The sequence below is a fragment of the Homo sapiens genome, chromosome X (assembly GCF_000001405.40).
Source record: "Homo sapiens chromosome X, GRCh38.p14 Primary Assembly".
NCBI lineage: Eukaryota > Metazoa > Chordata > Mammalia > Primates > Hominidae > Homo > Homo sapiens.
The window spans coordinates 120,411,315-120,439,309 of record NC_000023.11 but is presented as its reverse complement, the minus strand read 5'-3'; the positions used below and the strand labels follow the sequence as shown (position 1 = coordinate 120,439,309).

At 39.0% G+C, this 27,995-nt stretch overlaps 1 protein-coding gene across 3 annotated transcripts in view; it reads left to right on the top strand.

The window, feature by feature from the left end:
• LAMP2 (lysosomal associated membrane protein 2) overlaps positions 1-13,162 on the top strand; it is a 43,202-nt gene extending 30,040 nt beyond the window's left edge. Inside the window, exon 9 of one of the 3 annotated variants that reach the window (NM_001122606.1) lies at positions 10,684-13,162. In NM_001122606.1, the coding sequence (NP_001116078.1) occupies positions 10,684-10,826 (143 nt within the window). In that variant the 3' untranslated portion in view covers positions 10,827-13,162. Of the gene's footprint in view, positions 1-16; positions 2,817-7,847 lie in introns of those variants that run through there. The other 2 variants (NM_002294.3, NM_013995.2) reach the window with 2 other exon arrangements.

Sequence of the window (27,995 nt, the reverse complement as noted above, 5' to 3'; positions counted from 1 at the left end):
TTTTTCTCACCTACAGCCCAAGAGTGTTCGCTGGATGATGACACCATTCTAATCCCAATTATAGTTGGTGCTGGTCTTTCAGGCTTGATTATCGTTATAGTGATTGCTTACGTAATTGGCAGAAGAAAAAGTTATGCTGGATATCAGACTCTGTAACACTAATCAATACGTGATCTCTGTTACAAAAGAAAAAAGCAAGTACAAGTTCCAACATGCAATACTGGTCAACTTAAGGTATATTTAGTTGCAGTCCAGCTCTTTAGAATGGGTGGTATGGGGGATTTCAAACTTAAACAAAAAACTATCAACTACAAATTAGTTGCCTGACTTTGGTTTTTCCAACCAAGGAATTTAAAACTGTTATTTTTACAGCAAAAGATGTGCAAAATCACTGGATTATAAGTTCTATTTTACTGTCTTGAATTAGTATTTCAGTGTTTTCATTTTAGACATTCAGACTAAAAATACACCGTTTAGAAAAAACAATTTTTGAAAAAGAGATTTTTTTTCCCTGCAGGTAGTTGAGTTGGAACAACATGTTCTACCGTGGATTTGTACTTGCTCCTTTTGCTCTTTTTGTGTGTGTGTGTGTGTGTGTGTGTGTGTGTGTGTGTGTGATTTTTGTTTGCAGGTTAACTTAGCTACTTTGGCATTGCTGCATATTTGACCTTTGAGAGATATAATAGTAGATTTGAACAGGGGCTGGTATTATTATGTTCTTAGCAATAAATGCTTTTCTAATGCCTTTTGAATACATTTGTATTTATGTGGCTGTAATGACAAAAGATACAAAAGCTTTTTAAAATTTAGAGTAGGTATTAATCTTATTGTTTAATCTTTTTTTTAAAAAAACTGGATATTTCAATCTTTTAAATTGCAATATATAAGACTATTCCAACTGGGCATTTCAATCCATTTTTTAGGTGCTTTAGAGATAATTGCTTGCCAGTGCCAATTGAGGGCATTAGTACTTTGTGCTCATAAATTGGCCTCTGTATGCAGTACTAAAATTAATGCAGATTTCTCTTTAGCCTTCCAACATTTCTTGTTGATAGTGATGTATTTTATTATTTTCTTTTTCTTAAGAAATGCCAGTGTGTCCTAGAACCTAGATAACGAAGTGCACTTACACTTATAAAATAACTTGCATCTAGGCTGGGCGTGGCGGCTCACGCCTGTAATCCCAGCACTTTGGGAGGCCGAAGTGGGTGGATCACTTGAGGCCAGGAGTTTGAGACCAGCCTGGCCAACATGGTGAAACCCCATCTCTATCAGAAATACAAAAAATTAGCTGGGCGTGGTGGTGGGCGCCTGTAATCCCAGTTACTCGGGAGGCTGAGGCAGGAGAATCACTTGAACCCGGGAGGCAGAGGTTGCGGTGAGCCAAGAGCGCACCATTGCACTCCAGCCTGGGCGACAAAAACGAAACTCCATCTCAAAACAAAACAAAACAAAACAAACAAACAAACAAAACTTGCATCTAACCAAAAAGTCTTGGTTTTATCTTAATCCATTAAAAAGTTGTTCTTTGTTTCCAGCTTGCATTGATTGCTACAACATCACTAATTTGGCTTTCACATTTAAATGGTTCTGTGCTAATCAAAACTTTCGTTGTTATTATTCATTATGGTAGAATCATTTTTAATTCACGTGCTTTGTGTTCAGTTTTGTGGTCTGAGAGATGTACCAATTGTCAAATTACCGTGTACCACCTAATGTTTATAGGAGAAAGCAAAATACATCAGCTTGGTAGTTAACACATCAAATATTTCTTGCTGCTTCTAGGAGAACTTTTTTGGTGTGTGTTGGAATGGCTGAGCAAATATTAAAATTGTTAATATGCAGCCATATATGGAAGGTTCCTGTGGGGTTGTTTTTTCGTGTTTTTTTTTTTTTTGTGGTGGGATTATGTGCCTCCCATTCACTAGAAAATGAGAAAATTGTCTGGGTTCCAAAATATTGACATTGAATGGATCAATACACACACACAGACATATATATATATATGCACACATATATAGGCAGTTGCATGCTAGCATGGGTATTTTTATAACAATATAACTGAGTTATATTGGAATTATAAATATTTTCCGTCACTTAAATTTGTTCTTTGTTTAGCCTGAAAACCTTTATGGCTCAAGATCAGATTCCTGACTAACCCCTCTCTTAGAGCTACAGCGAGCTGCATTACCAGCTTAAAACACTTCTTAGGGATTAAATATAGATGTAATTTTTCAAAATCGTTTTTAATTTAAACTGTGTTTTAGTGTAAAATTGTTAACCTTGTAAGATGGATAATGTGTATAAGAATGTAGGCCTTAACTATTTCACATGAGTCAAAACAAAGCAGCTTTAAAAAAATAATTGGAAGCACAAGTGCATGGCACTGACTGAATGCTGTTAATATTTCTAAAAGTTTCTACATTCAGATTATATGCCTGATTCATAGTAAAATACCTCTAATAAACACTGTTTTATAGAAAACCTGACTTCAGTGAATATTTTTGTATTTTACATGGGCCAGTTTATATACTGCTATTTACACTATTATTTCCTATAGCTACATGTTCTTTGTACCTTTTGTAGTTTTATTTGTATTACTAGATTCATACCTTGATGGTAACGCTCTATCTGGTTTTGGGTGTTTTTCATGTTTTAGCATTTGTATAAAGAAACTGGTCCATGTAAATACTTTCCATGTTTTTTCTTCAAATGTTTAAACCACTAGTTGATGTATGGTATCTTTAGATATTTGCCTGTCTGTTTGCTCAAAATTGCTTCTAAAACAATAAAGATTCTTTTATTTCTTAAGGCAATTTGCTTACCTTTTTTCCCGTTGGTTAAAGTCAAGATTTTGTATACTACATAATGGCAATTTCTTTCAAATGGAAAAACTTTAGAAATGTTTAGAAGTAGAACTGAATTATTTGCAAAATGTTCTGATGTTCTGTCTGTATATTACCATCTGGAAGAATAGTCCCATACATAGGCCTCGATTGATGCTAGGCAGGCTACAGAATAAGATCAACCTGGGAAGCGTTTTATAAAAATAGATTCCAGGCTGCATCCTTAGAGGATTTAACGTAGTAGGTCTAATGAGGAGACAGAGAGAGAGAGAGACAGAGAGAGAGAGAGAGAGTGTGTGTGTGTGTGTGTGTGTGTGTGTGTGTGTGTGTGTGTAAGCTCCCCTGCTGAACCTGATGCATAGTCAGTTAGGGAACCAGTGATCTAGAATATTTATTTCATAATAAAAGCTGCGGAGTATCTCTTTGTACACTTTTCTCAATTCCTAAGTTGAGGTTGATATTCAATATCTCTACATAGTAGCTTTACATTGCAGCCATACATATTGAGCTATTGATCTGAACCAACGTAGGATTGTGTGCAGTCTCTCTCTTACTTAGATCACTCTAAAATACTTGAGCCTTCCAGTTTCCATATACGGATAGTTACCTAGTCACCTTACTATATCACATAAGAAAACTTAGCAATGTAGCTGGTAACTTTTCTCTGAATTACCCAGTTAAGCCATGTGAATGCCAGTTAGTCATCACGGCTGCAAACTCTGCAGTTAACTACCATTGTCTTTGGCCAAGTTGTTTAACTTCTAGTGTCTCAATTTCTTCATCCAGTGGGTGGGGGCTTTAAAATCCTGCTACTCATTTCTTTGAGTGATAATTTGCATTTCAGAGGAATGCATCATAGTATTTCATACATCTTAGTATTTTAGAAGGAATCTGATAAGCTACTTGTTACGTATCAAGAACATACTATAAGTTCAGTGTAAAATGTACCACTTAAGTTTCCTGCAGTTTTTCAGGAGGAATTCTTATAAGACTTGGACATTTTTAAGATGATAGTATTTCATCTGTTTATTTAGGTAGATAATGTTAAATTGTCTTGGGCTCATCTTCCACCCATCTCCTTTTCTTTTACCCTGGTAGCTAACTTTCTGCGTTAATAATCACCATTTCTTGTATTTGAAACTGGTATAGATATTCATGAATGATATTGAGTAGCTTCACGAATCTTTTCAGATGCATGTGATTTACTTAACACAGTTTGATTATAGATATAAAATGTATATAACAAAATATCACCTAAGAATGTGCTTCTTAATGTGGATCCTTCCAAAAAGAAGTTTTGACTCGTTTGTTTGTTTGTTTTGTTTTGTTTGAGATGGAGTCTCGCTCTGTTGCCCAGGCTTGGGTGTGTATAGTGGTGTGATCTCAGCTCACTGCAACCTCCGCCTCCCAGGTTCAAGCAATTCTTATGCCTCAGCCTCCCAAGTAGCTGGGATTACAGACGAGTGCCACCACACCTGGCTACCTTTTTATTTTTTTAGTAGAGATGGGGTTTTGCCATGTTGGCCAGGCTGGTCTCGAATTCCTGACCTCAAGTGATCTGCCTACCTCGACCTCCTGAACTGCTGTTATTATAGGCATGAAACGCTGTGCCTGGCCTCAACTGGTTTTTAAGAGAAGTTTTATTAGTTTTTGTTGTAAATGTATACCTCAGCTTTCCAGTTCTTGTGTTGAAAATTGTGTTTGAAAAATGTCTGAACTGGCAGAAAATTGAAGATTAACAGCATTTTTAATCTACATGAAACTTCTTACTGAAATTTTAGTGGCCATGGAACTTTTTAATCTTTAAAAATCTTTATTGCTTCTGTGGCTATTAAATTCTTCTGCAAATACACTTCTCTTTTCCCCAGAAGCATTTTCAATACAGCGTTAAGTATACATTAGGCAAGTAGATCAGATCAAAATGACTTATAGGATGAGATTTTCTTTTCTTCAGAATGTGATCCCATTAAAGTTACTGTTTTACCAACATTTTTTCCATTAACTAAATAATTTTTAAAGGTTGAATTCATACAATCAATAGTTATTATAAATTAATATTTCACATACTAATTGAGAGCATTTTAAGTAAATGACAGTATCTAGAAAGATCTTTGTATTAGCGGAATTGCCTTTTTGAGCTACTCTGAGAATATTTGTCTTACATGAAAGCCTTATTGGCAGTATTTATGAAAGTCGTTTCAGTACTAGGTCAAATACCCAATTTGGGAAAGAGAGAACTATGAGTCTGTTGCCAGAATAAGAAATTAATCTACTAATGAATTTTTAAAAAACCAAGTTATATTAAACCCACGGCATAATACTTTATGGTACATGTCACCTAATAGTTTATGGGCTGGGTGGTAATTTGGGAAATTGTAGGGGAGGTGCTAACTGGGGATTCTTAACACCATCTATTCACAGGTCACATCTGGCAGCCTCAGCTCTCTGGATTCTTAACAGAACCAAGAAGCAAGTAAAACAAATAATTGAACTGGCAGCCCAAGTCAATGTCAGAAAAGTTTATAAACTCCAGGGTTGCATTTTGTTCCTAGTTATTGCCCCAGAGGCTAGTGGGGGCGGCGGGGAAAGCTTGGCACATTTCTTGAATGCAAGCACAATCAGAATTGCCATGCAGCCTATTTGTCCTATCTTTGATACAATTCTAATAAGCTTAGTTATCTGATTTATCAGTCCCTGGTAGACTGCAAGCTAGGCAGAGAACTAGGGCAACAAGACACAGGAAATGGGAAATAGAAATAGCAGTTAACTTCTTTCCTGCAAGTGTATCCATCTGTAGCATTCCTTCCTCCTCTCCAGTCTCAGAGTAGGTTTTCTTTTCCTGGTTAAACTGAGGCAAACAGTTATGTCATCAAGGCCCATTTATATCTCTTTTCCCATTACTAAGTGACCCCAGATTGTTATGTATTGAGTTCTTAATGTCTTACGCTTTTGGAATTCAATCTCTTAACTTGTAGGAGAACTTGTACCATTCAGCATCTTCTGTCAATTGCTAATGGCTGTTTCCCTCATCCTATTTAAGTTCTTCTAACCTTAAGCTATCCTTTCTTGTCCCTATGTCCCCCTTCTAATTACCTCCCTTTTGTCCTGCCTTAATCATTCTAAACTTCTCAAAATGAGTATTGTATTTGTTACCCTGCCCAAGTTCTTGATGTCCTAACCAATCACTTCCCATTCCCTCTTAAACCTGCAGCAATTTTACTCATATCTCCCACCCTTCATATTGCTAGAGGCAATGGACATGTTTCAAAGCTTTCTACTATTATTTGCTGTCTTTCCACCTTAATTGAAACGTTCCATCCTTAGCTTCTCTGGCGCCATTTTCTATCTGCCCTTTTACATCTTTTTCCTACTCCATTGTCTATCCCACAGGTATTGGTGTTCCCAAGGGTTTTTGTCTCTGATCCTCTTTTTATTCTACTTCCCCTTACTGAGAAATGTTCTTGCCCATGTTTTAACTACCACTTAGGTTCATATAGCCACTTGGTTAGGACATAGTGATTTTTTTTTTTTTTTTGAGATGGGTTCTCGATATGCTGCCCAGGCTGGTCTTGAACTCCTGGGCTCAAACAGTTCTCCCATCTCAGCTTCCCAAGTAGCTAGGACTACAGGCGTAAGCTACCATGCTCAACTAAGGACACAGATATCTTAAACTCACATATCTAAAACTGAGCATCTCTCTCTTCCACGTATCCTTTTTACCACCTGTTCCATATAACTACAAAAAACTGAAATGCATATATTCTTCCTCTTTTATAGAATGGCACCAGCATCTACATAATCAGTCAAGTGTGGAATTGGAAACCATTCTATTATCTCCTCCTCGTACACCCCCTACATCCGTTTGGTCAATTTTGCCTTCTAATTTGATCTCCAGTCTGTGCCTTCTGCTTTTCTTCTGCACTTCATTAATCCAGCTCAGGACAATATTATTGGTTACCTGGACTCTAGTGATAAAGATATGTCCTACCTTACTACCTCCATCTGCCATAACTTCTGAAATGAAATCCTGCTTAATATCCTGCTGCTGAATTTTTTTTTCATCAGGATAAGGCCAGACTACCTAAGAGCATATAGTACCTTTGTGACCTGGGTCCCTGCACACTTTTTCTGCCTTCTATCCAGCCAAAAATACCTTTTGATCCATTGTTCTAGCTCTGCCAACCTGCTTGCGTTTCCCTTGAAGTGCTATGTCTTTTTACTCTCCATATTTTTGTCTGTGCTATTTCTTATACCTGGAATGCCCTTCCCCCATTACTTGCATCATTAATTCCTATTCATTCTTAAAATCTCAGCTCAAGTGTCACCTTTTCAAAGTGTGTCTTATGTAATAAGGCTGAACTTGAGTGTGCCTCTGAAATTTTTCCATGGCACTTTGTGTTGCCTACTCCTACCACAACACATTTTGAAATTATAACCACTGATTTTTCTTGTCTGACTCTAACACTAGACTGAGCATCTTGAGGCAAACAGTTATGTCATCAGGGCCCACTTATATCTCTTATATCTCTTTTCCCATTAGTAAATGATCCCAGATTGTAATGTATTGAGTTCTTATGTCTGCTTTGTATAGTTGTTCATTCAGTGAGTTAATACTTAACAGCAATATTTGAAGCATTGTGCTTCTTCGACATCATAACAGTTTGCCTCTGAAAGCTCACGGCCTGATCATCAAGGCAAGGCTAATTAGATTTGTTCATTATGTTCTGTTTAAGAAATCTGGGAACTATGTGACCATGTTATACATTTTTCATCCAAAATGACTGCATTTTTACTTGGTACTTAAAAGTGTATTATTTGGTTATTTGGAAAATCACTTTTGTGGAACATCTCATTTGCTGATAATGAAATGCCAATGACTTGTTACCTTGGTATAAAAAACCAAAATATGCGTGTTAGGAAGTGCTGTCATTTTACTCAAAATACACAGATTTGAAAGTTTGTCACTGTTTCTGTTCTCAATTGTCCTTTCTCCACATCTAGCTCAAGACTGCAGTGCAGATGACGACAACTTCCTTGTGCCCATAGCGGTGGGAGCTGCCTTGGCAGGAGTACTTATTCTAGTGTTGCTGGCTTATTTTATTGGTCTCAAGCACCATCATGCTGGATATGAGCAATTTTAGAATCTGCAACCTGATTGATTATATAAAAATACATGCAAATAACAAGATTTTCTTACCTCTCAGTTGTTGAAACACTTTGCTTCTTAAAATTGATATGTTGAAACTTTAATTCTTTTATCAATCCCAGCATTTTGAGATCAGTCTTTATTAATAAAACCTGTTCTCTTTAATCAGCTTAAAATCCAAAGTGTCATATTTACTGGTCCTGGAGACAAACTTGTTCAAAAGAACATCAACGTGCAATGTTTTAAGGTCTATCTTAAGAAGCCCTGGCCAAATTTTGATCCTAACCTTGAAGTATGCCTTGAACTTATTAACATGGCCATTATAAGAATAAAATATGTAGTTGTGTCTTAATGGAATTAATAAATGTCATTTCACTACTGGTGTTCTGTTTCAATGTATAAGGACTATAGTGATTTAAACTCATCAATGTGCCTTTGCATAAAGTTCATTAAATAAATATTGATGTGGTATAAATGCCCATCAGATATGCTTAAACTTGGTTTTCAGTTGAATGAAGTAGAGAATGTCCTCAGGACCATCAGCATTTTAAAGGTTATGTGACTTTTGCTGATTTCTCTGAGTTCAAGTTAAGCATGAAGTTAGTACCTCAAGCCTGTGATTTTTCCCTAGGGATGATACAGACCCAAGAGGCTACAACAGAACTTAAACTGGCTTCGTAATTAGAGTTTTTAAGATAATTGTTTGTTTTTCAGCAATATAGACTGAAAAGATCCAAGCATATTTAGCCACTTGCTTTTTTGTTTCTTGTTTTGTTCTTCTTTGGATGCCTGATTAGTATTGAAAGATAGAAATATTCTATGAACTAATTAGGACAGATTGTGTTGTGTTTCTCTACCTCATCTTGTTGATCTCTGGAGCATTAAAATCTATTTAGTGTTGTCATCAGTGTGGTACTTATGAAATGTAAGCTAACAGCAATCTCAGAAGGGAGGCAGTGAAGCATAGCAACTAGGCTCTTGTTTCTTCAAGATGGCCCCTGTGGGGCAGTGCATAGATGGGGGTGTAAAGAGAAGCTGTTGGCATTAAAATGAGCTAGATAATCAGCCCTTGTTGAAGCATATTCCATGGTATAAGAGTAGCACAGACATGAAACATAGATAAAGAAGGAAGGCTTAATAGACTAGAAGACTTCCACATTGAAGTATTATTAACCCATTGTATGTATATAGGGGCATGATCAGAGTCTCTATAACTTCCTGATTAACAATACAGTGTATCTTGTTACCCAGCTGTCAGTCTTTGAGAGCTTTCAGTAAAATATAGTAAATTCTTTCAGCATAGGCTAATGTGTGGTTACTGAGATGAGTGTTGTGTACTCAGAACCGTAGCAACATTTTTATGAATGGTAAAAGTACAAGAGGAGGAAAAGTTAAAATTAGAAGAAAAGTACAAGTTATTGCTTAATCATAAATCACACCAGATAACACATTTTGTTAATTTCATTAGCTATTACTGGAAAGGACCTTAACGATTATTTACAGAAAGGGGAGTGAAATTCATTGAGGTTCCATATCAAGTGGGCAACAAAACTATTACTAGCATTTTGATAAAAATTGCCCCTAATGAAATCTAGTCACTCAACAGTAAAACAACAGCTGGTTTACACTTGAAATTATGAGATCAGAATTGGGCACTTTGGGCTTCCGTACTATGTTTTGCTTAAGTTTTTTTTTTAATACTAATATGGGCTTTTTCAGTAGTAATATACCAAAACACTTCTATTTTAATCTCTGTTTGCTACTTCAAAACCTAATCCTCCTCAGATGGGATCATGAGCATAAGAGGAAAAGAGAAGAGAATGAATACTTGTTGACCTCTTGATGTGTATCAGATGCTTTAGAAATGTAATTGTATTTAATCCTCAAATACCTTATAGGTATTATTATCCCCTTCTTACAGATGAGGAAAGTGAGGCCCAGTTTAAATAACTTGCCCAAGGTCCTTTGGCTAGTACTGGAAGGAGTCAAGATTTAAACACAGTTCTGTCTGAATCCAGAACTCAAAATCTACATTGCACATGTTGCTTTCCTGGTGGTTCGGTGGAATGGACTGCAACGCATTAGATACTGCTGTTATTCTTCCAGGCCACCGCTCAGCTAAAAATAATTGTGTGTGTGTGTATATATATATATATGTACACACACACACATATATATACACACACACATATATATACACATATACATATATATACACATATATATACACACACATATATATGTATATATATACTACATTCTTGATCCTAAGTCTTTTTTAACTTAAATTTTATTACTTATACAGAATTCTTATTTATACTTTAATTATAGGTGTGACGAAGAGAAAGAGAGTAGGGAAATACACAGGCAGTGGTTTTAAGTGTAGATGATGGCTCCTTAACCCAGTGTCATTAGATAATCAAACCTAAAGTCTTCCCATATTAGGCAAGCGCAATTCTCTATTTTGGACCCTTCCCATTCTTCCCTTACCTTCTGCTTTTCGTACTGAGGAATTTCGTGTGATTTTAGATAAAGTGATAATGAGATATTGAGCAAATAAGAAAATAGAGGTAATGCTATAAAAAACTAAGCTATGTACACTTTCAAAATGCATGTTTCTTGCATGCTTTTTACTACTTAATTGCATTCTTTGCTAATTTCCTTTCCTTGCTGTCTGTTCTTTTCTAACAGCTGAAGAATGTTCTGCTGACTCTGACCTCAACTTTCTTATTCCTGTTGCAGTGGGTGTGGCCTTGGGCTTCCTTATAATTGTTGTCTTTATCTCTTATATGATTGGAAGAAGGAAAAGTCGTACTGGTTATCAGTCTGTGTAATCAGTTAAATCTAGTGTTTGTTTGTTTTTTTCAATTAGAAGTTACGTTTCCATTGGCTAAAAGCCAGGACATGCTGTGCAATAGATTGTTTAAGATATGCAGACTAACTTCAGTGAGTTCCTAGCTAACTTGGGCATGAGTACACTTATTTAAGACAAAATATATTAGGACCAATTTTTTTCTGTTTTTTTTCTTCCTTTGTTAAAGTATAATTAAAAGAAAAATTGTGGCTTAGAATTTTTTAAGTAAATAATGATTTTAAGCCCCTGGATCCAATTATGAAAGCATTTTTGCTGATGTGTAATTTTATATGTTACAGTTACTTATATTTTACTACTTTGATGTTATTTGCAAAATCAAAGGTGTTAAAGAATTTAACTTGCTTCAGGAAATAAATTCAAGAACATAGTGGATTCATTTTCATTGGTGGCAGACACGAAATTTGGTTCATGATAAGACTTCCTTTCCCCACCTCCTGATCAGCATTATTTAAATCTGTATTTTTCTGTTAGTTAAGAAAGAAATGGCTTCATGATATTGTATTTAATAGCAAAAGTTTGGCTGTCTTCTTCATTACTGTTAATAGCTACTATATTTTAACAAGGAGATTTCTTTTTTTGTTGTTGTTGTTCTAGAGTTTGGAATATACTGATTATCTCAGACTTGACATTTATACTGAAGGATGAAGTAAGACCTCCAGCTTTTTTTAAAAAAGGTGTTGATTTGGAACACCTGTATGGGTTATGGTTTATTAAGGTTATGGTTTAGAAAGTTTTTTTCCCTCAGAGCCTTAACTTGTTAAGAAGGTTCATTTATCCTGCACTGAAAACAAAAACTCTATATACTTTGTTTGTGTGCCTCCTGCACTCTCCCATTCCCTATGTGAATATGCTCTAGTTGATATTTTTAATATATTGATTTCTTTTTTCTCACAGCAACAAGTGCTTACTCTAGAGGTTAGTGGGCCCTGATATGTCATCAGTCAGATGCCTGCCTAGCCAAAGCTGGACTAAGATTATTCTGTACATTTGTTGATCTTGATATAGACTTATATCCCTGTAGGGACTGCTAATGGCTCCGGCTTCTGGAGTAAGGTACTGGAGACCACTCATCCCTGTGTCTGCTTGATTGGTTCAGCTGTTGAATTGCCCTTTTATTTGGAAGCAGTGTTGAAGTTGTCTAGGGTTCAAATGGCTGCTTTGTACACCTGTCATTAGTATAAGGCAGATGTTTATTTTATCAAGCTATTTTATCTCTACATTTAACTAAAAACAAAAGTTCCCAAAGATCTGCCTTCACTTCAGAAATTTTTTTTGGATTAAAAAAATTAAGCCTGAACCTTAAATAAAGTGAGTTGGTTATTCATTCCAAGGATTAAGTCCCAATCTACCTCTCAGCACAATGCAGAAGCTCACCACTGTATTGCTGCCATTAACTCATGCCAGAACCCTTTGCCAATAACTGGAATTACAAATTTTTGTTAAAGAAAATTTATCAAGATCTTTCTTTACTGCCTTCTCTATATGTACATCTCAAAAACATGTACATCTCAAAAACTGGAGTAGAAAGTTAGATTGCTCAACTACAACTCCTCTAGAACTCTATAGCTCTGACATACAGATTCACACTCTCCTCTATTTGCTAAGTATGTAAAGAATGTTTTCTTTTAAAATGTTCTCTTTTGAGAACAACTGCTTATTTGTTATAAAAGCATTTGGTTAAAATGATGTCATCATAAAAAACAGTGGCTTTGTTTCAATACATATTTTTGAGATGATTATCTAGAAGCCAGATTAATAAAATCAGCTTGTGACCTTGCTAAGCATATAAACTGGAAATTCAGATACATTCAAAATTATGGGTTCATTTAAAAGTGTTCTACCTTTTGGGTATGAGACTAATATCACTAATTCCTCAATAGTTATCATGGCTCTATCTTAATTAATTAGAAAATATGTGTGTTTAATTCTTTGAGAATTAAAATAGAGAATATTAACAGAGGGTTAAAAACTGCTTCAACTCCAATAAGATAAAGGAAGCTCAAAATCTATGAGCTGAGTGTTCAATTAGCTTTGCCTACTGAGTTCAATTTTATGTCAATACAACAGTGGATCAGACAGTACGACTTTGAACTGGTGAATGTAAACAATTGTTTTTCACCTAAGCTGCTTTGGAAGAACTGATGCTTGCTGCTAACTAAAGTTTTGGATGTATCGATTTAGAGAACCAATTAATACCTGCAAAATAAAGCATACTGTGGTACTTCTGTTTGATCTAGTATGTGTGATTTTAGATTGATGGATTAAAAATTAATAAAGATCATACATTCCATACCACTATGGATAACCTCATTTTTATTCCATATGCTCAGCCTTAAGAGCTTAGACTTAATTGTATAATCTAAGTTTCTTGAATTCTAGTCTCTTGGATTGTCAACAGGAATCATAGGATCTCATAGATCTGCAACTTAACCAAGTCCCGTCATTAGGAAGGCACTAGTACAGAACCTTTAGTACAGACACCTCAAATAGGGGGACCTACTTAGTCATGGAAATTACAAGAAAACATCAAAAACAAAATATGGAAATCTAACAAATGTAAGAACATCATAACAAACGTACTTTCCGCGTATGTCTGTCTGCATTGATGAACTATACTAATTGTTGAAGTTCATTTCATTCTGAGTGAGATATACCTCAGGGATATGGTGGGGCAAGGGGAGGAGCTATCCATTTTGTGAATTTCCTTTAAATTCCTTACAATCTAGTCTAATGCTTAATTTTTATATAATTGGATAAAACAACAACACATACATAAACATACTCCTTTTTACATGAGAGGTATTTTTGGTGGGAGAAGGAATTAGACATTGGCTCCCTCCATAGTTCCAGAATAATAGGGTTTCATTTTCTGAAAGACGTTTAATAGCTTGTAATTAAGTCAAAAAATGGCCTTCATAACTGCCACCTCATGAGGCCTCTGAAAGAAGCACTTTAAGTTGACTGATAATTAGGAAGAGTGGTTCGATATATGTTGCTGTGAGGGTTACAGTGTATCTAAAAAGTCAACTTGGAGGGTCATCTTTTTAACTTCAATGTGTATACTTTTTGAATGCCAGAACTGCCTTTAGAATTCTGATGAAATGTTTTTCCTTTCCTTTGTTTTTACTGTCTGCATGTATTTTGATAGCAGTGTAAGTTTGGGTCCCTTTAATTTCAAGAGGTATGCATAATGAACAGGAGAAATCTTGCCATACAATGCATCTTTAGTAGGAAAAATCCATAATTTTATTGAGCAGTTACAGTGCTGTGCACTTTAAACACCTTATTTCATTTAATACACCAACTCTCTGAGGTTGGGGGTATCATTTCCAGTTTACATATGGGATAACTGAGGCTTGAGTTGGTTACTTAACCAAAGTCACACAGGATTAAGTGGCAAAATGGACATTTGAACCCAGTTCTGTTTGCCCGCCAAAGACCATGCAGTTAACCACTATACATCTGCCTTTTGCAGAAGCAATAGATTTTTTTAAAGCACATGCCTTACATTAAATGGTTACAGAAATCTGACTTCTGTACTCTTCTATCTTGTATGTAGTTGCCTTATAAATATTCTTCAATATTCTTAAAATAACTTGAGTTTTATCCAGCCCACTTGTGGGGCAGATGGATGTTGTGGCAGCATGCCTTTTGGAAGATCAAAACCAAGGCCAGTTTGCACTGTACCTCATCAGTAATATTAAGCCCGAATGTCACTTTTTTCAGGGTAGCCTCATCTAGTTATTCTGATCACATATCATTGTCATTCTGCTCTCAAACTCTTCTGTACCATGAATCATTTTGACTGTGCATTAGTGTGTTTAAGAAACTAAATGGAACTGTCTCTCTTCTCACTTTCCTTAATACCATTCATACCCCTTCCCTTCATCCCTCAGCTTTAAGCGCATTGTAACCATGACACTCAACTATCTTTGCCAGGTGGTTCTGAACCTTATTAATACACAGTTCCTATTCCCAAATCTAAGGCCTTTTGGGAAGGGTTTCAAGAATTTTTTTTTTTTTTTTTTTTTGAGACAGAGTCTCACTGTTGCACAGGCTGGAGTGCAGGGGCGCGATCTTGGCTCACTGCAACCTCTGCCTCCCAGGTTCAAGCTACTCTTCATACCTCAGCCTCCCGAGTAGCTCCCAAGTAGCTGGGATAGCCACCACGCCTGGCTAATTTTTGTATTTTTAGTAGAGACGGGGTTTCACTGTGTTGGCCAGGCTGGCCTCGAACTCCTGACCTCAGGTGATCCACCTGCCTTGGCCTCCCAAAGTGCTGGGATTACAGATGTGAGCCACTGTGTGCATGGCCGATTTCAAGAAATCTTTACCTGCAAAGTTTCCAGCCATAATCTGCGAAAGCCCCATGCCCTTCCCTCCTTATCTACTACTTTCCTGTATTCACTTCAGCCATACTGACCCTTTTGCTACGCCTGGCTAATTTTTGTCTGTTTTTGTATCTTTAGTAGACACAAGGTTTCACCATGTTGGCCAGGCTGGTCTCGAACTCCTGACCTCAAGTGATCTGCCTGCCTCAGCCTCCCAAAGTGCTGGGATTATAGGCGTGAGCAACCACACCCGGCCAATGTTAGCTTTTTATTTATATTAATCTGGACTTCTTTCTAAAGATGACAGATGTCAGCTGTTCAGATAATATCATAGAAAGAGGAAGTGGAGAGAGAGAGTAAGGTGAGATAAAACCTTAAGGAACAGAAATCTACTCAGACTGGGTTAAAAAGAAAAAAAGAGTCCGGGCGCAGTGGCTCACTCCTGTAATCCCAGCACTTTGGCAGGCTGAGGCGGGCAGATCACAAGGTCAGGAGATCAAGACCATCCTGGCTAACAGGGTGAAACCCCGTCTCTACTAAAAATACAAAAAATTAGCCACGTGTGGTGGTGGGCGCCTGTAGTCCCAGCTACCTGGGAGGCTGGGGCAGGAGAATGGCGTGAACCCGGGAGGCAGAGCTTGCAGTGAGCTGAGATCTTGCCACTGCACTCCAGGCTGGGCGACAGAGCGAGATCCGCCTCAAAAAAAAAAAAAAGAAAAGAAAAGAAAAAAAGAATGAATTGTGAAGCTATGGGGTAAGTCTCACAGAATCCAATTGCAAGAAGCACATCTTGGACTCAAAGGAATACAGAATTAGATTATAAAGCTTCAACTGAGAGAATACATGGGTGATGACTACAAGGAAAGTTTAGGGAAAAATGAATAATGAATAATAACGTGCACTGCATTTGCTAAAATGTATTAGAAAGCTAGAATCAGGTGTTAGGTGGGTATAAGAATAGAGCAACAGTTCAAAGGACAAGACACAGTATACACACAAATATATACAGCAGTATGTACGTGTATGTGTATATACATTATGTATATACAGTATGCGTGTGTGTGTGTATATATATATATATATATATTTGGTATTTGATAAGGATGTTGTTTTCAGATGAGTGGGGAAAGAATGGAACGTTTAAAAATGATGCTGAGGGCCAGGCATGGTGGCTCATGCTTGTAATCCCAGCACTTTGGGAGGCCAAGGCAGGTGGATCACTTTAGGCCAGGAGTTTGAGACCAGCCTGGGCAAAATAGCAAGACCCTATCTCCACAAAAAATAAAAAATAAAAAAAAATTAGCTGGCCGTGGTGGCACATGCGTGTATTCCCAGCAACCCAGGAGGCTGAGGTGGCAGGATTGTTTGAGCCCAGGAGTTTGAGGTTGCAGTGAGCCATGATTATGCCACCGCACTCTAGCCTGGGCAACAGAGGGAGACCTTGTCTCAAAAAAATAAATTAGAAAAAATATGATGCTGAGATACTAAGATACTAGGTTAGTTATTTGGGAGAAAATACACTTAGTCGCCTACCTCACAATACCAAAATAAATTCAAGGATAATTAGAGTTAAGTTTTTAAAAAAAAACTATAAAAGATATAGAATCAAATATAATGGCTGTTTATTTTATCTCAAAATAAAGACCTTCCTAAGAATAGAAGAAAAAGAAGAAATGGCAGTGGAAAAAAAGATTTCCATATAAAAACATTTAATATATCTGACCACTAAAATGCTACCAGACACAAATTTACAGGTAAACTACAAACAAAGGAAAGTATTTGCAATCTTAAATATAACAAAGAGTTAAGGTGATATTTTTACTATCAAATAAATACAAACAAGATGAATATTCCCTGAATAAGCTGGAATAAGGACATGAATAGCAAAGTCATGCCAGAAGGATTGCAAATAGATAAGCAACTTGAAAAAAATGTTCCATCTCCCTAGTAAACAAAGAAACGCAGGTTGAGTATCCCATTGAAATGCTTGGGACCAGAAGTGTTTTGGATTTTAGATTTTTTTTTTTTAGATTTTGGAATATTTGCCTTATATTTGCCAGTTGAACATCCCTAATCTGAAAAATCTGAACTGCTCCAACGAGCATTTCCTTTGAGCATCATGGCGGCACTCAAAAAGTTTTGGGTTTTGGAGCGTTTCGGGTTTTGGATTTTTGGATTACAGATGTTCAGCCTGTATAAATTAAAACAAGATATCTTTCAAACTGGCTAAGATATTTTTAGTGATAATATTCACTCTTGGCCATGATACGGAAGACTGCACACTAACGATGTTGGGAGTGAAAATAAAAATTTGGAAACAATCTAAGTACCCAGTAAGATAGAACTAGGTAAGTATATTGTGAAATGTTGACATGACAAAATGTTACAAAGCCATTTAATATCACGACATCAAAAATTAAGAATATGAGACTGTGCTTGTGTCTTACTGTTAAGAGAAAAATGAACGTCGGAAAGAAATATGTGCCATTCTGTTTTGGTAAGTAAATTTCTCTACCCCTATCTCTCTATCTCTCTATATATCTACATCTAACTACTCGTCTACCACCCAAAAAGTGTTTCTCCCTATCCTTATACCTTACCACAGGCTTGGTACAGAGTCCACCACAGGAGGCTCCAGATTGGAGCCATTACTTCTACAGTTGAGGCCACAACAGAATGTGTACTGTGTCCTGTCTTGATATATATGTACGTATATCTGTAAATAGGTGAGTATATATAAAGTAAATACATCAAAGTATAAACAGCAGTCACCTCCAGGTTTTGGGATTATGGATGGTGTGAATTGTTTTTCATAGTTCTTTTTTGATAAATGCAGTCTATTTTGATAATCAGAAGGGTCTCAGGAAAATGATTTCCCAAGAGAGTGGATTTAAATCTCCTTGATTCTTTCCTGTGTGTCTTGGTTTCTAGAGTTGGCGCTCGAAAAGGAATTAGCAGAAGGAGAGGATTGGGGACATGGCTCCTAGGGGTGTTGGCCTGGTTCTTTCTTGCATTCTGCATGTAAGTGAGAGCTGGCCCCGTGAGAGGACAAAGCCTCCGCTTCTACCAGATATCAGGGCACTCTCCTCATTTGAAACATGTTTTTATCAAGAAAAATTCCTTTATTTTACATTGTTCATTAGTCCAGTCACTTAGCCTTGATCACGCGCAGCTCTCACGCCCCCACAGGAATACAGAAGCATACGTATCCATCAATCTATTGTTCTCTTCTGTGATGCCTGACAGGTGCTTCTCCCCATCCCTGCATATTATCTGCAGAGGTTTCCACAGTAAGGGTCTGAGTTGGAGCCACTACTCGCAGCTGAATGAGAGTGGAAGTTTTGATGGCAAGAGCCTTGGTGGGGGTGGGGATAGGGGACATGCCAACCATCACATGCTGTCCATCTCCTGCATCTCTGTCTCTGCAGGTTTTGCCAGGCCAACACCCCTAGGAGCCATGTCCCCAACCCTCCCCTGCCATTTCCTTTCCTAGCACCAATACTATCCATAGCAACGAAGCCTGACACTTTTGGCATGTCAACCCACTTCCCTTTCTACCATACTGTCTCTATGACTCAAATTTCCTCCATTAGTGTCAATTTTATGGGTCAAGGTATTGGCATACCCTATTAACTGCTATTAATTGGTAAGGGTAAAAGGTTAAGGCACTGTGTTATAGTATAAAAAGCATGGAGTTTAGTGCCAGGCAAATTGGAGTTTGAACCCAGGCTTTACCAACTCCCAATTGAATGACTTTGGGTAGGTGACTGAGTTGCTCCGTCTGTAAAATAGAGTAGAATATTCTCCTTGAAGAACTGTTAAAGGGCGGGGGTAGCTATTATACCTATAACTTTACAGAGATGTGATGGTTACCAACAGGATAATGGCCATAAAGTCTCACATAGAAGGCACTCAATTGTATGAGTAGGCAATTGAGAGGCATCCCTTATACTCATTACCCCAGCATCACAAACAGAATCCCGAGAGTAGGGGAAGGCAACCAACACTTTTTGGGGCCTGAAGAAATTCAGAAACTTATTCAAGGTTGCACAGCTAGTGAATAGCAGAGCAGGTATTTGAACCCAGTTCTCTCTGGTGCCAAAGCTCAGGCTCTTCCCACAAACACCTCACTTACTGCCTTTAGCTACATGTCCCCATCCCCGAATGAAGGGAGAATTGACAGCCAATTTTAGTGATTCTGGACAAAGATTCAGGCAGGTTACTGTGAAAAAAGCCCTGATATGTTGGGTAATCACACTGAGCTATATAAAAAGCTATGCACAGACCTTCAGACATTCCAGTGGACATCAGAGTATATTGTGAAGCCCTAAATGAACCAACTATAATGAGAACTAGGGTTATTTGTTCACATTACACTATGGATGAAAACAAAAGTTCTCAAACTTCAGTGTGCATCAGAAACACCTGCTGGGCCCCACTTCCGGAACTTCTGGGGTCAGGAAGTCTGGGTGGGGCCTGATAATTTGCATTTGTAACAAGATCCTGATGCTTCTGGTCCAGAAACCACACATTGAGAACCACATTAAAATGTACTATAACACTTCCAAGTCTCTGTGTCCTATCTTCCAAAAATTCCAAGGAGCTATCAGCACACGAGTATCACAAAACCTTAGCTGCCAATCCAGAAACCCTAGCTTTGGGTTTGATGTCTCTGATGGACCCTTTCCCCTCCAGCACTCCAAAGTAAGTAACCAAGGCTCTCCTGATAATCGTGACTGTCAGGGAAGTGAGAATGCTGGTGGGGCAGGGCCACTTTTGTTCTCTGTCCCCATTCTTGTGCCCATACCAAGCAGGTAGCCAGCCTCCACTTCCCTTCACCTCAGGGAACATTTGTCTTGTGAGCAGACAGGCTACAGCCTGGCTGTTTTCCAGAATCCTAAACACCTTGATAGGATTATGCATAGGAGAGAGGGGACAGTGACTTGGCAGGCAGAAATGCACAAGGGAAGTTTCTGCACATGGGACATCAGGGGACCTCAGGGAGACAGGACTCAGGGAAATGGCTTAGTGGTACACAGGAGGCTGGATCCCAGACATCAGAGCGCCAAGCCTAGGTAGAAGAAGCATCTTCCTCACCTGACCTCTCATGCCCCACCATCCCTGGAGCAGCCTGCCCTGGAGCAGTCCCATCTTCAAGAAACCATGTGGACAGTGAGGGTAGCAGGAACAATCACGATGTACTGAAGACCCCACAGAGGTGCCCCTAATCCTTGGGTAACTGGTCGGAAGAGGAAGGGCCCTCCAGTAATGAATGAGATTGAACTTCAGTGGGATGGAGGGAAGATACAGATTTAAGCTGCCACCTCTGAGCAAACCGCCCTGACATACACACTACACAGAAGACACAGCAGTCAAGGGCACACTCTTTAGTACTAGTTAGGATCAGAAAACCCTTGACAAAGGTTGATCGTGGTGAGCTGGGCGGGATCTCGTGGGGTAACCCGAGGACACCTTTAGCTCAGATTGAGGTAGATCTAACTAACCACCCCTGGCTCCCTTCTTGCCTTGCAGCAGCTGCCTTGGGGAGCAGAGAGCCTGTAGTGAACACACCAAGAGGGAGAGGAGGGGCCCAGAGGCATTCCCAAGAGTGCTCGCCCCAGTCCAGTTCTATTTTTAACCCACTTATTCCTCCCAAGAGATGCACCATCCAGAGCTTGGTGCCCCTGAGGTCTGTCCTTGGAATCCATTTTGTTCTTCATCCACTGTTGACTGGAAAGGGACTTGGGATGGGGGCAGCCCAAGGCTGAGGGCTAGAGTGTGTAACCAACACCCCCTGCCCTCAAGCACTGTCTTTCTTCAAGACAGCCCAGTGGTCTTTCAGTCAGGCTTGTGGGCAACCAAGAAAATGCCTGTCCCGGCGCGGTGGCTCACGCCTGTAATCCCAGCACTTTGGGAGGCCGATGCGGGCAGATCATGAGGTCAGGAGATCGAGACCATCCTGGCTAACACAGTGAAACCCCATCTCTCAACTAAAAACACACAAAAAAATAGCCAGGCGTGGTGGTGGGCACCTGAATTCCCAGCTACTTGGGAGGCTGAGACAGGAGAATGGCGTGAATTCAGGAGGCGGAGCTTGCAGTGAGCCGAGATCTTGCCACTGCACTCCAGCCTGGGCGACAGAGCGAGACTCCATCTCAAAAAAAAAAAAAAAAGAAAAGAAAAAGAAAAGAAAACAAAATGCCTGTCCCTCTCAAGGGAGGAAATCAGTAGGCAATCAGAAAAGCCCTGCCTGCACTTTCCTAATATTTGCCACTGCCCATTCACTTCCATTGGGACTAATGTGATGAGCAGTTCAGTCACTCAAGGCCTTTCATGAAAGTCTCTTTGACACTTCTCCGAGAATTACAAGAATAGATCTTGATGTTATTTCAATTGGGTTTATCCAAAGGGCACACTATGTGCAAGGGTACAGAGACACCCTTGATCTACACTGTATTTCAAATTAGGATTTCTTGGCTGGGCGCGGTGGCTCACGCCTGTAATCCCAGCACTTTGGGAGGCCGAGGCAGGTGGATCACCTGAGGTCAGGAGTTCGAGACCAGCATGGCCAACATGGTGAAGCCCTGTCTCTACTAAAAATACGAAAAATTAGCCAGGCATTGTGGCAGGCGCCTGTAATCCCAGCTACTCAGGAGGCTGAGGCAGGAGAATCGATTGAACCCAGGAGGCAGAGGTTGCAGTGAGCTGAAATTGCTCCATTGCACTCCAGCCTGGGCAACAAGAGCGAAACTCCGTCTCAAAACAAACAAACAAACAAAAACAAAAACAAAAAACAAAAAACCAATTAGGCTCTCTTATCTAACCAAACTCACCCAGTTGGATTATAATGTGTGCACCAGATGACAACATATAATTATAGTTTCTAACACACACTAGGCCATCAATGACTATTTGGTCAATAAATTAGTAAATGAAATTAAACAAACTTGCTATAATCTCTAAAATTTAATGCTATTTTCCCAACTCCCTTTGAACTCAGCTATATCAATCCATTTTCTCCAACAGGATTAAATTCTAACGAAATCTGCTCTCCCTTGTTCCAAAATACATGCAGAACATCTCTTTCCTGATTCTGTTGCATTATTTTCAGCAGCAGCCAGTTGAGGTCTCACTGAGGTGAAGGATGATGAGAGCCAGAAGGGTATTTTGTGAGGTTTCACATGCTGAGAGCCAGATCATCTTCAGCTTCATGCAAGATTCCTGGAGCTTAGAGACACAAAAAACAGGCCCTCACCTATGAATGTTATAAGAATAAATCAAACAAATATGAACACTGCTATAGTTTACAATATGACAATAGCAATCTCAAGGAAAAAGCAGTGTTCTAGAAGATGATGTGTCTTATGTTGTAAAAGCATGGCTATTCCCAGCCAAAAGCCTAGTGTTGAGGAGAGAGGAGGTTAAGGAGAATGGAGAGGGAGAAAAATAGAACGCTCCATAACATCAGCTTCAGGGTGTCGACTAATTAGTAGCAGCCACCCAGAGTCCACCACTTGTAAACTTAAATGCAATTGGGCAAATTTTCCTTTTAAAGATGGACATATTCAATAGAATCTCATCTTTCTTGAAAACAATACTTGGCCAGGAGCAGTGGCTCACGCCTGTAATCCCAGCACTTTGGGAGGCCAAGGCGGGCAGATCACTTGAGCCCAGGACTTCAAGACCAGACTGGGCAACATGGCAAAACCCTGTCTCTAATTTAAAAAGAAAATGCAAAAACTAGCCAGGCATGGTGGTGTGTGCCTGTGGTCCCACCTACCCAGGAGGCTGAGGTGGGAGGATTACCTGAGCCAAAGAGATTGAGACTGTAGTTGGCCATGATCACACCACTGCACTCCAGCCTGGGTGACAGAGTGAGACCCTGTCTCAATAAATAAATAAATAGTAATATGTGCTATCAAGATAATAGAAGTTGATACGAGAGATAGGGATTCTACAGGGAATTGAGATTCTCCCCTGTATATAAGGCATGTAGGGAACGTCTCTTTGAGATGACATTTGAGCTGAGATCTAGAACTCCAATAGCAAAAGTCTTGTGTAGAAAAAGCTTCAAATATCCAAGGAATAGAAAAGATCTCAGCCAGGCACGGCTGGGATTAGGCCTGTAATCCCAGCACTTTAGGAGGCCGAGGCAGGCGGATCATTTGAGCTCAGGAGTTCAAGGTCAGCCTGGGCAACATGGAGAAAAGCCATCTCTACTAAAAATACAAAAAATTAGCTGGGCGTGGTGGCGCACACCTGTGGTCTCAGCTGCTTGGGAGCCTGGGGTGGGAGGAGGATGACTTGAGCCCAGGGAGGTGGGGTTGCAGTGAGCTGAGATCACGCCACTGCACTCCAGCCTGGGTGACAGAGCAGGATGCTGTTTCAAAAAAAAATAAAAAGAAGAGGAGGAAGAAGAAGAAAGAAAGGAAGGGAGGAAGGGGGGAAGAAAGGAAGGAAGGAAGGAAGGAGAGAGAGAGAAAGAAAGAAAAAGAAAGAAAGAAATAAAAAGAAAGAAAGAAAAAGAAAGAAAGAAAGAAGAAAAAGAAAGAAAGAAAGAAAAAGAAAGAAAGAAAAGATCTTAGTGTGACTAGAGCATGATAAGTTTGGAAGAGAGTGGAATGAGATGATGTTGAGAACATACATAAACAAAGATATTATGTTGCATGGCCTCAGAAGCAATAGTAAGAAGATTGAATTTTATTCTAGGTGTGAGTAGGTGACATTGTAGTGTTTTGTTTTGTTTTGTTTTGTTTTTTGTTTTTTGTTTTTTAGTGATAGCGTCATCAGATCTGAAACGTTTTACTCTGAATGTGGCATGGAATAGAGATTATATGGAGATTAAGAATGTAAATAGGGATAATAGTGTGGAAGCTGTTGCAGCTGACAAAGCAAGTAATGATCAAGATTTGGTTTAGTCTAAAGTGGTGTTATTGGAGATGAACACCAACTCCAGTAATATGTGGAATGGTGTTCATCTGGGGAGAGGCTGAGAATATATTTTGAAAGTAAACTTGACAGGCATTATAGATTGTTTGGCTAAGGGGGTGTAAAGATTGAGAAAAAGAAAGGAGATAAGGGTGACCTATAGTTTTTAAGTTTGAGCCAAGTGGGTGAATGGTGGTACCATTTCTGAGATGGAGAAGATTGGGAAAAGAAAAGAAAAAGCAAGAGTACTGTTTATATATTTTTAAATTTTTTAGTTTTAAATTTATTTTTATTTCTATTTTTATTTTTTTAAGACAGGGTCTCACTATTCTGCCCAGGCTGGTCTCAAAGTCCTCGGCTTAAGCAGTCCTCCCACCTCGGCCTTCCAAAGTGCTGATATTATAGGCATTAGCCACCATGTCCAGCCCAAGAGTACTGTTTCAGAGATGTGGTTTGTGATGTCTCTTAGCAACCAGGGTGGGGATATGAAGTAGGCCTTCTGGGAGTTAAAGGTCTGGAACAAAGGGAAGAAATTGTGTTGGAAATACAAATTTGGAAATCTACTGATGGTATTTAACAACCGTGGACCTGAATGAGACCCCCAAGGGAGAAGAGAGTCATATAGAGATGAGTAGAAAACAGTGGACTGAATCCTGGGGCACTCCAAATGTTAGAATCATAGTTACAGTCAGTCATTGAAAGTACAAAGATGATTCCACGTTAATTTGGATTTAACCTTTAAAATCAGATAATTATGGTGGTGTATGTTATTTCAGCCACTGAAAAATATGAAAAACTCCCCAGATAATTTTGTGTAGCTATAATCACACCCAATGAGAAAAGTATATTATCAAAAAGAATGCTATTGGCCCATCTTATTTATAAGTATAGCTGCAAAGAGATGGCACTGACATTTCTATGTTATTTTTGTTTAATATCCAAGAGCAATTCCTTGTGAGATTCTTGCATTATACATAAAGTAGTATAACTTTTGAAGGTATATTATGATAAGTAAAAGATGTACATTATAAGTTAAAGATGTATATTCCACAGCATAGAAAAAGAGGGACAACTCCCAGGTTCATTTTGTGAAGCCAACACAATTTTAACAGCCAAGCAGAAAAATAGTGTATAAAATAATACAGTACAAAATATACTGACACATCTGCAAAAATTCTACATAAAATATCTGTAAAGTTACTGTATCAACCTTCCTGTGGCAGATATTGTTGGTTAATAACCAACAACAAAGCCCACTCTTTTGCTAACACAACCTACACATTGCTCAGTGAGTGGCAAGCCCTGGGTAGCACCTCATGATTGGTTTCAGGCAATGTTATTCTTTGTCAGTGACTGCTTTAGGGGTAGACATGTAACGCTGTGATGGTCAATAAGATACATCAGGAAATTTTCTGGGTGGGTTTCAGGGAAAGATTTTCCTTTGCGATTAGATAGAGGACCAATAAAGTGAAATCCATTCACCATGCGTCCCAATCCTTTATGTTTGTGATGCAAGTATATAAGGGCATGTTGTTTGGAGCTGCAGGAGTTACCTTGAGACCATGAGAAGAGACATAACAGACATATGTTGTGACCATCATGCAGAAACAGGGTGAACCCTCACCCAAATTTGGTTCAGAGGTCAAGACTGATGGTACCACACATGCACTAAGAGGGTACAAAAATGTTTATTACTTACATAATGCAGCTTTCTGGAGAGAGCAGACAAGCCTCACAAGTTGATTCAAAAATTGCTTGAGAGAGCAAAGAAAGGAGACTGGCTTAGAATTTTAATTATGGTTAGGGATGGGGCTCGGGTAAGGGTTTCTGTGTGTGGGCAGGGGCTTGTATGGTTTGAAACACCTGCTGGCACTAAAGGAGAGAGCACTAAGGCTTTCTTATCAACTTGCCTAGATGTGAGGCATAAGGGGAGAGTGAAGGGTGAGGCTTAAAAGCTGTTAGCAGTCAAACATCAGAAAATGGAGTCAGGCTCTTCATTGTAATTTACCCCTGATGTTTGAATGATGACAAAAATATAACATGCTTCATTTAATTGAATTTGAACTTGTTTAAATAAGCCATTTGGGACTCTATAAAGCCTGAAGCCTGTAACCTATAAGGAAGGTGAAAATTTCATTGAATGCCTTGTTTCAGAGCCCAGTGTTGTGTATTCTGAGAAGTGAAATAAGTGCCTTGGTAACTATCAGTAATGTCTGGAACTACAAAGAGCGTAAGGATTGTCCTGATGAAGTTTTGTATTGCTTCAGTATATGTACAGGTATGTGCTACGCTGATTTATATTTCGGATATCTATGAGGCAGTAGATTACCACAGTTCCTTACCTCAAAGAGGTAAAGAGGGTACAGCCTATGGCTCAAAGAGGGACTCCTTGGACAAGAAATTATTATTGCTGCCATTGGCTAGACCAAATAGTGAGACCATTGACAATGGCCCAAAAGTGTGTAAAATGGTGCAGATGGGGCTGATTTTTGCTCATAGAAAACAGCACTAAGATGCCTGACTGAAGTTTGCCAATTATATTGGCCTTGACTCTCATCTTTTATCAGGGATGTCCTGGTAAAGGGATGAAAAACAGTAGCTCCAGTGAATACCAATCACATGTAATGGTAACAATGTCATCTGTAAAGTATACAAACTCCCATTGTCATTCATTTAGTTGATCCTAGAGGGCGCCTCAGGTGGCCAAGAGGTCTTGTAGAAGGGTGACATCCTCTACCACCATGACATCTGGTAAGGAACTGAGTACAAGGGAGGCCACGCCCTCCTGAAGGTGGGATATGCCACGGGGTTTAGGTTTGGTTCCATCCGGGAGTAAGGAGTACTTGGTGGCCATTGCAAGCTTCCAGGGTGCTGCTTCCATGACTCAATACATAGTGGGTATCTAGGTATGGAGGGCCATAGGCTCAAGGCATGTGGGACCTCTATTTCTGGAAAGTCCAGTATGCAGCTAGCAATTGCTGCTCAAATGGCCTACAACACAGGGCTGAGGAGGGCAGTTTTTTTGGCCCATAGGCAACGTATGGACAGCATGGGTGGTCCAGAGACTCCAGGAGGCACGAAAGGAGGTTACTAACACCTATACCATGAAAAGAATCTGATGGAGGGGCATTAACAGGAGGGGCTGTTGTATTGCAATTTGGACAGAATCTAGAACCTTTTGTTGGAGGAGTGCCCGTTCAAGGTGGGCTGATTTGCAAATAACCACATAGATGGGCTTAAGTAAAATTTGTAAGGGAGGAATATGTTGCCTTCTGAACCCAAAAGACCTAAAAGATGTTAGGTTTGTGGCTTATTTTAACACTGCAGGGCCTGAGAGGGTCTACAGCTATTTCTTGACAGTGCCAGGTACAGGGTAGCCCTTGGTTTGCCAAATAATTTTCAGGAATTTACAGATCTGTTGGAGCCTTGTATTGTGTAAGTCAATGGCCCGTCCATTCTTTTGGGCTCCTTTATGAGTAACTTTATGTCCTTAGTGTGTGAAATGAATATCATCAGAAGAGGATATCATGAATATAATGGCATAACTGTGCCCATGAAAAATTTGGAAGCAGATAAAATTGTATCTGCAAAGATTGTGTGTAATGACAAGGCTGTTGAAGTACCCCATGGATATATTGTGTCCCTTAGGACGTGATCGCAAACTGGAGCCGAGAGGGTGTTAAAATAGCATTGAACAGAATATATTAGCCATATCTATTATAGCAAAATATTTATCAGTTTCTGATTAGATGTAGTCAGTAACTTAAATAATTTTGGATATAGGCCCTTAATGGATGAGGCCACAGCACTGAGGTTGCACTAATCTACTGTGAGACATCATTCATTTTTTCCAAGTTTAACAGCAGGCT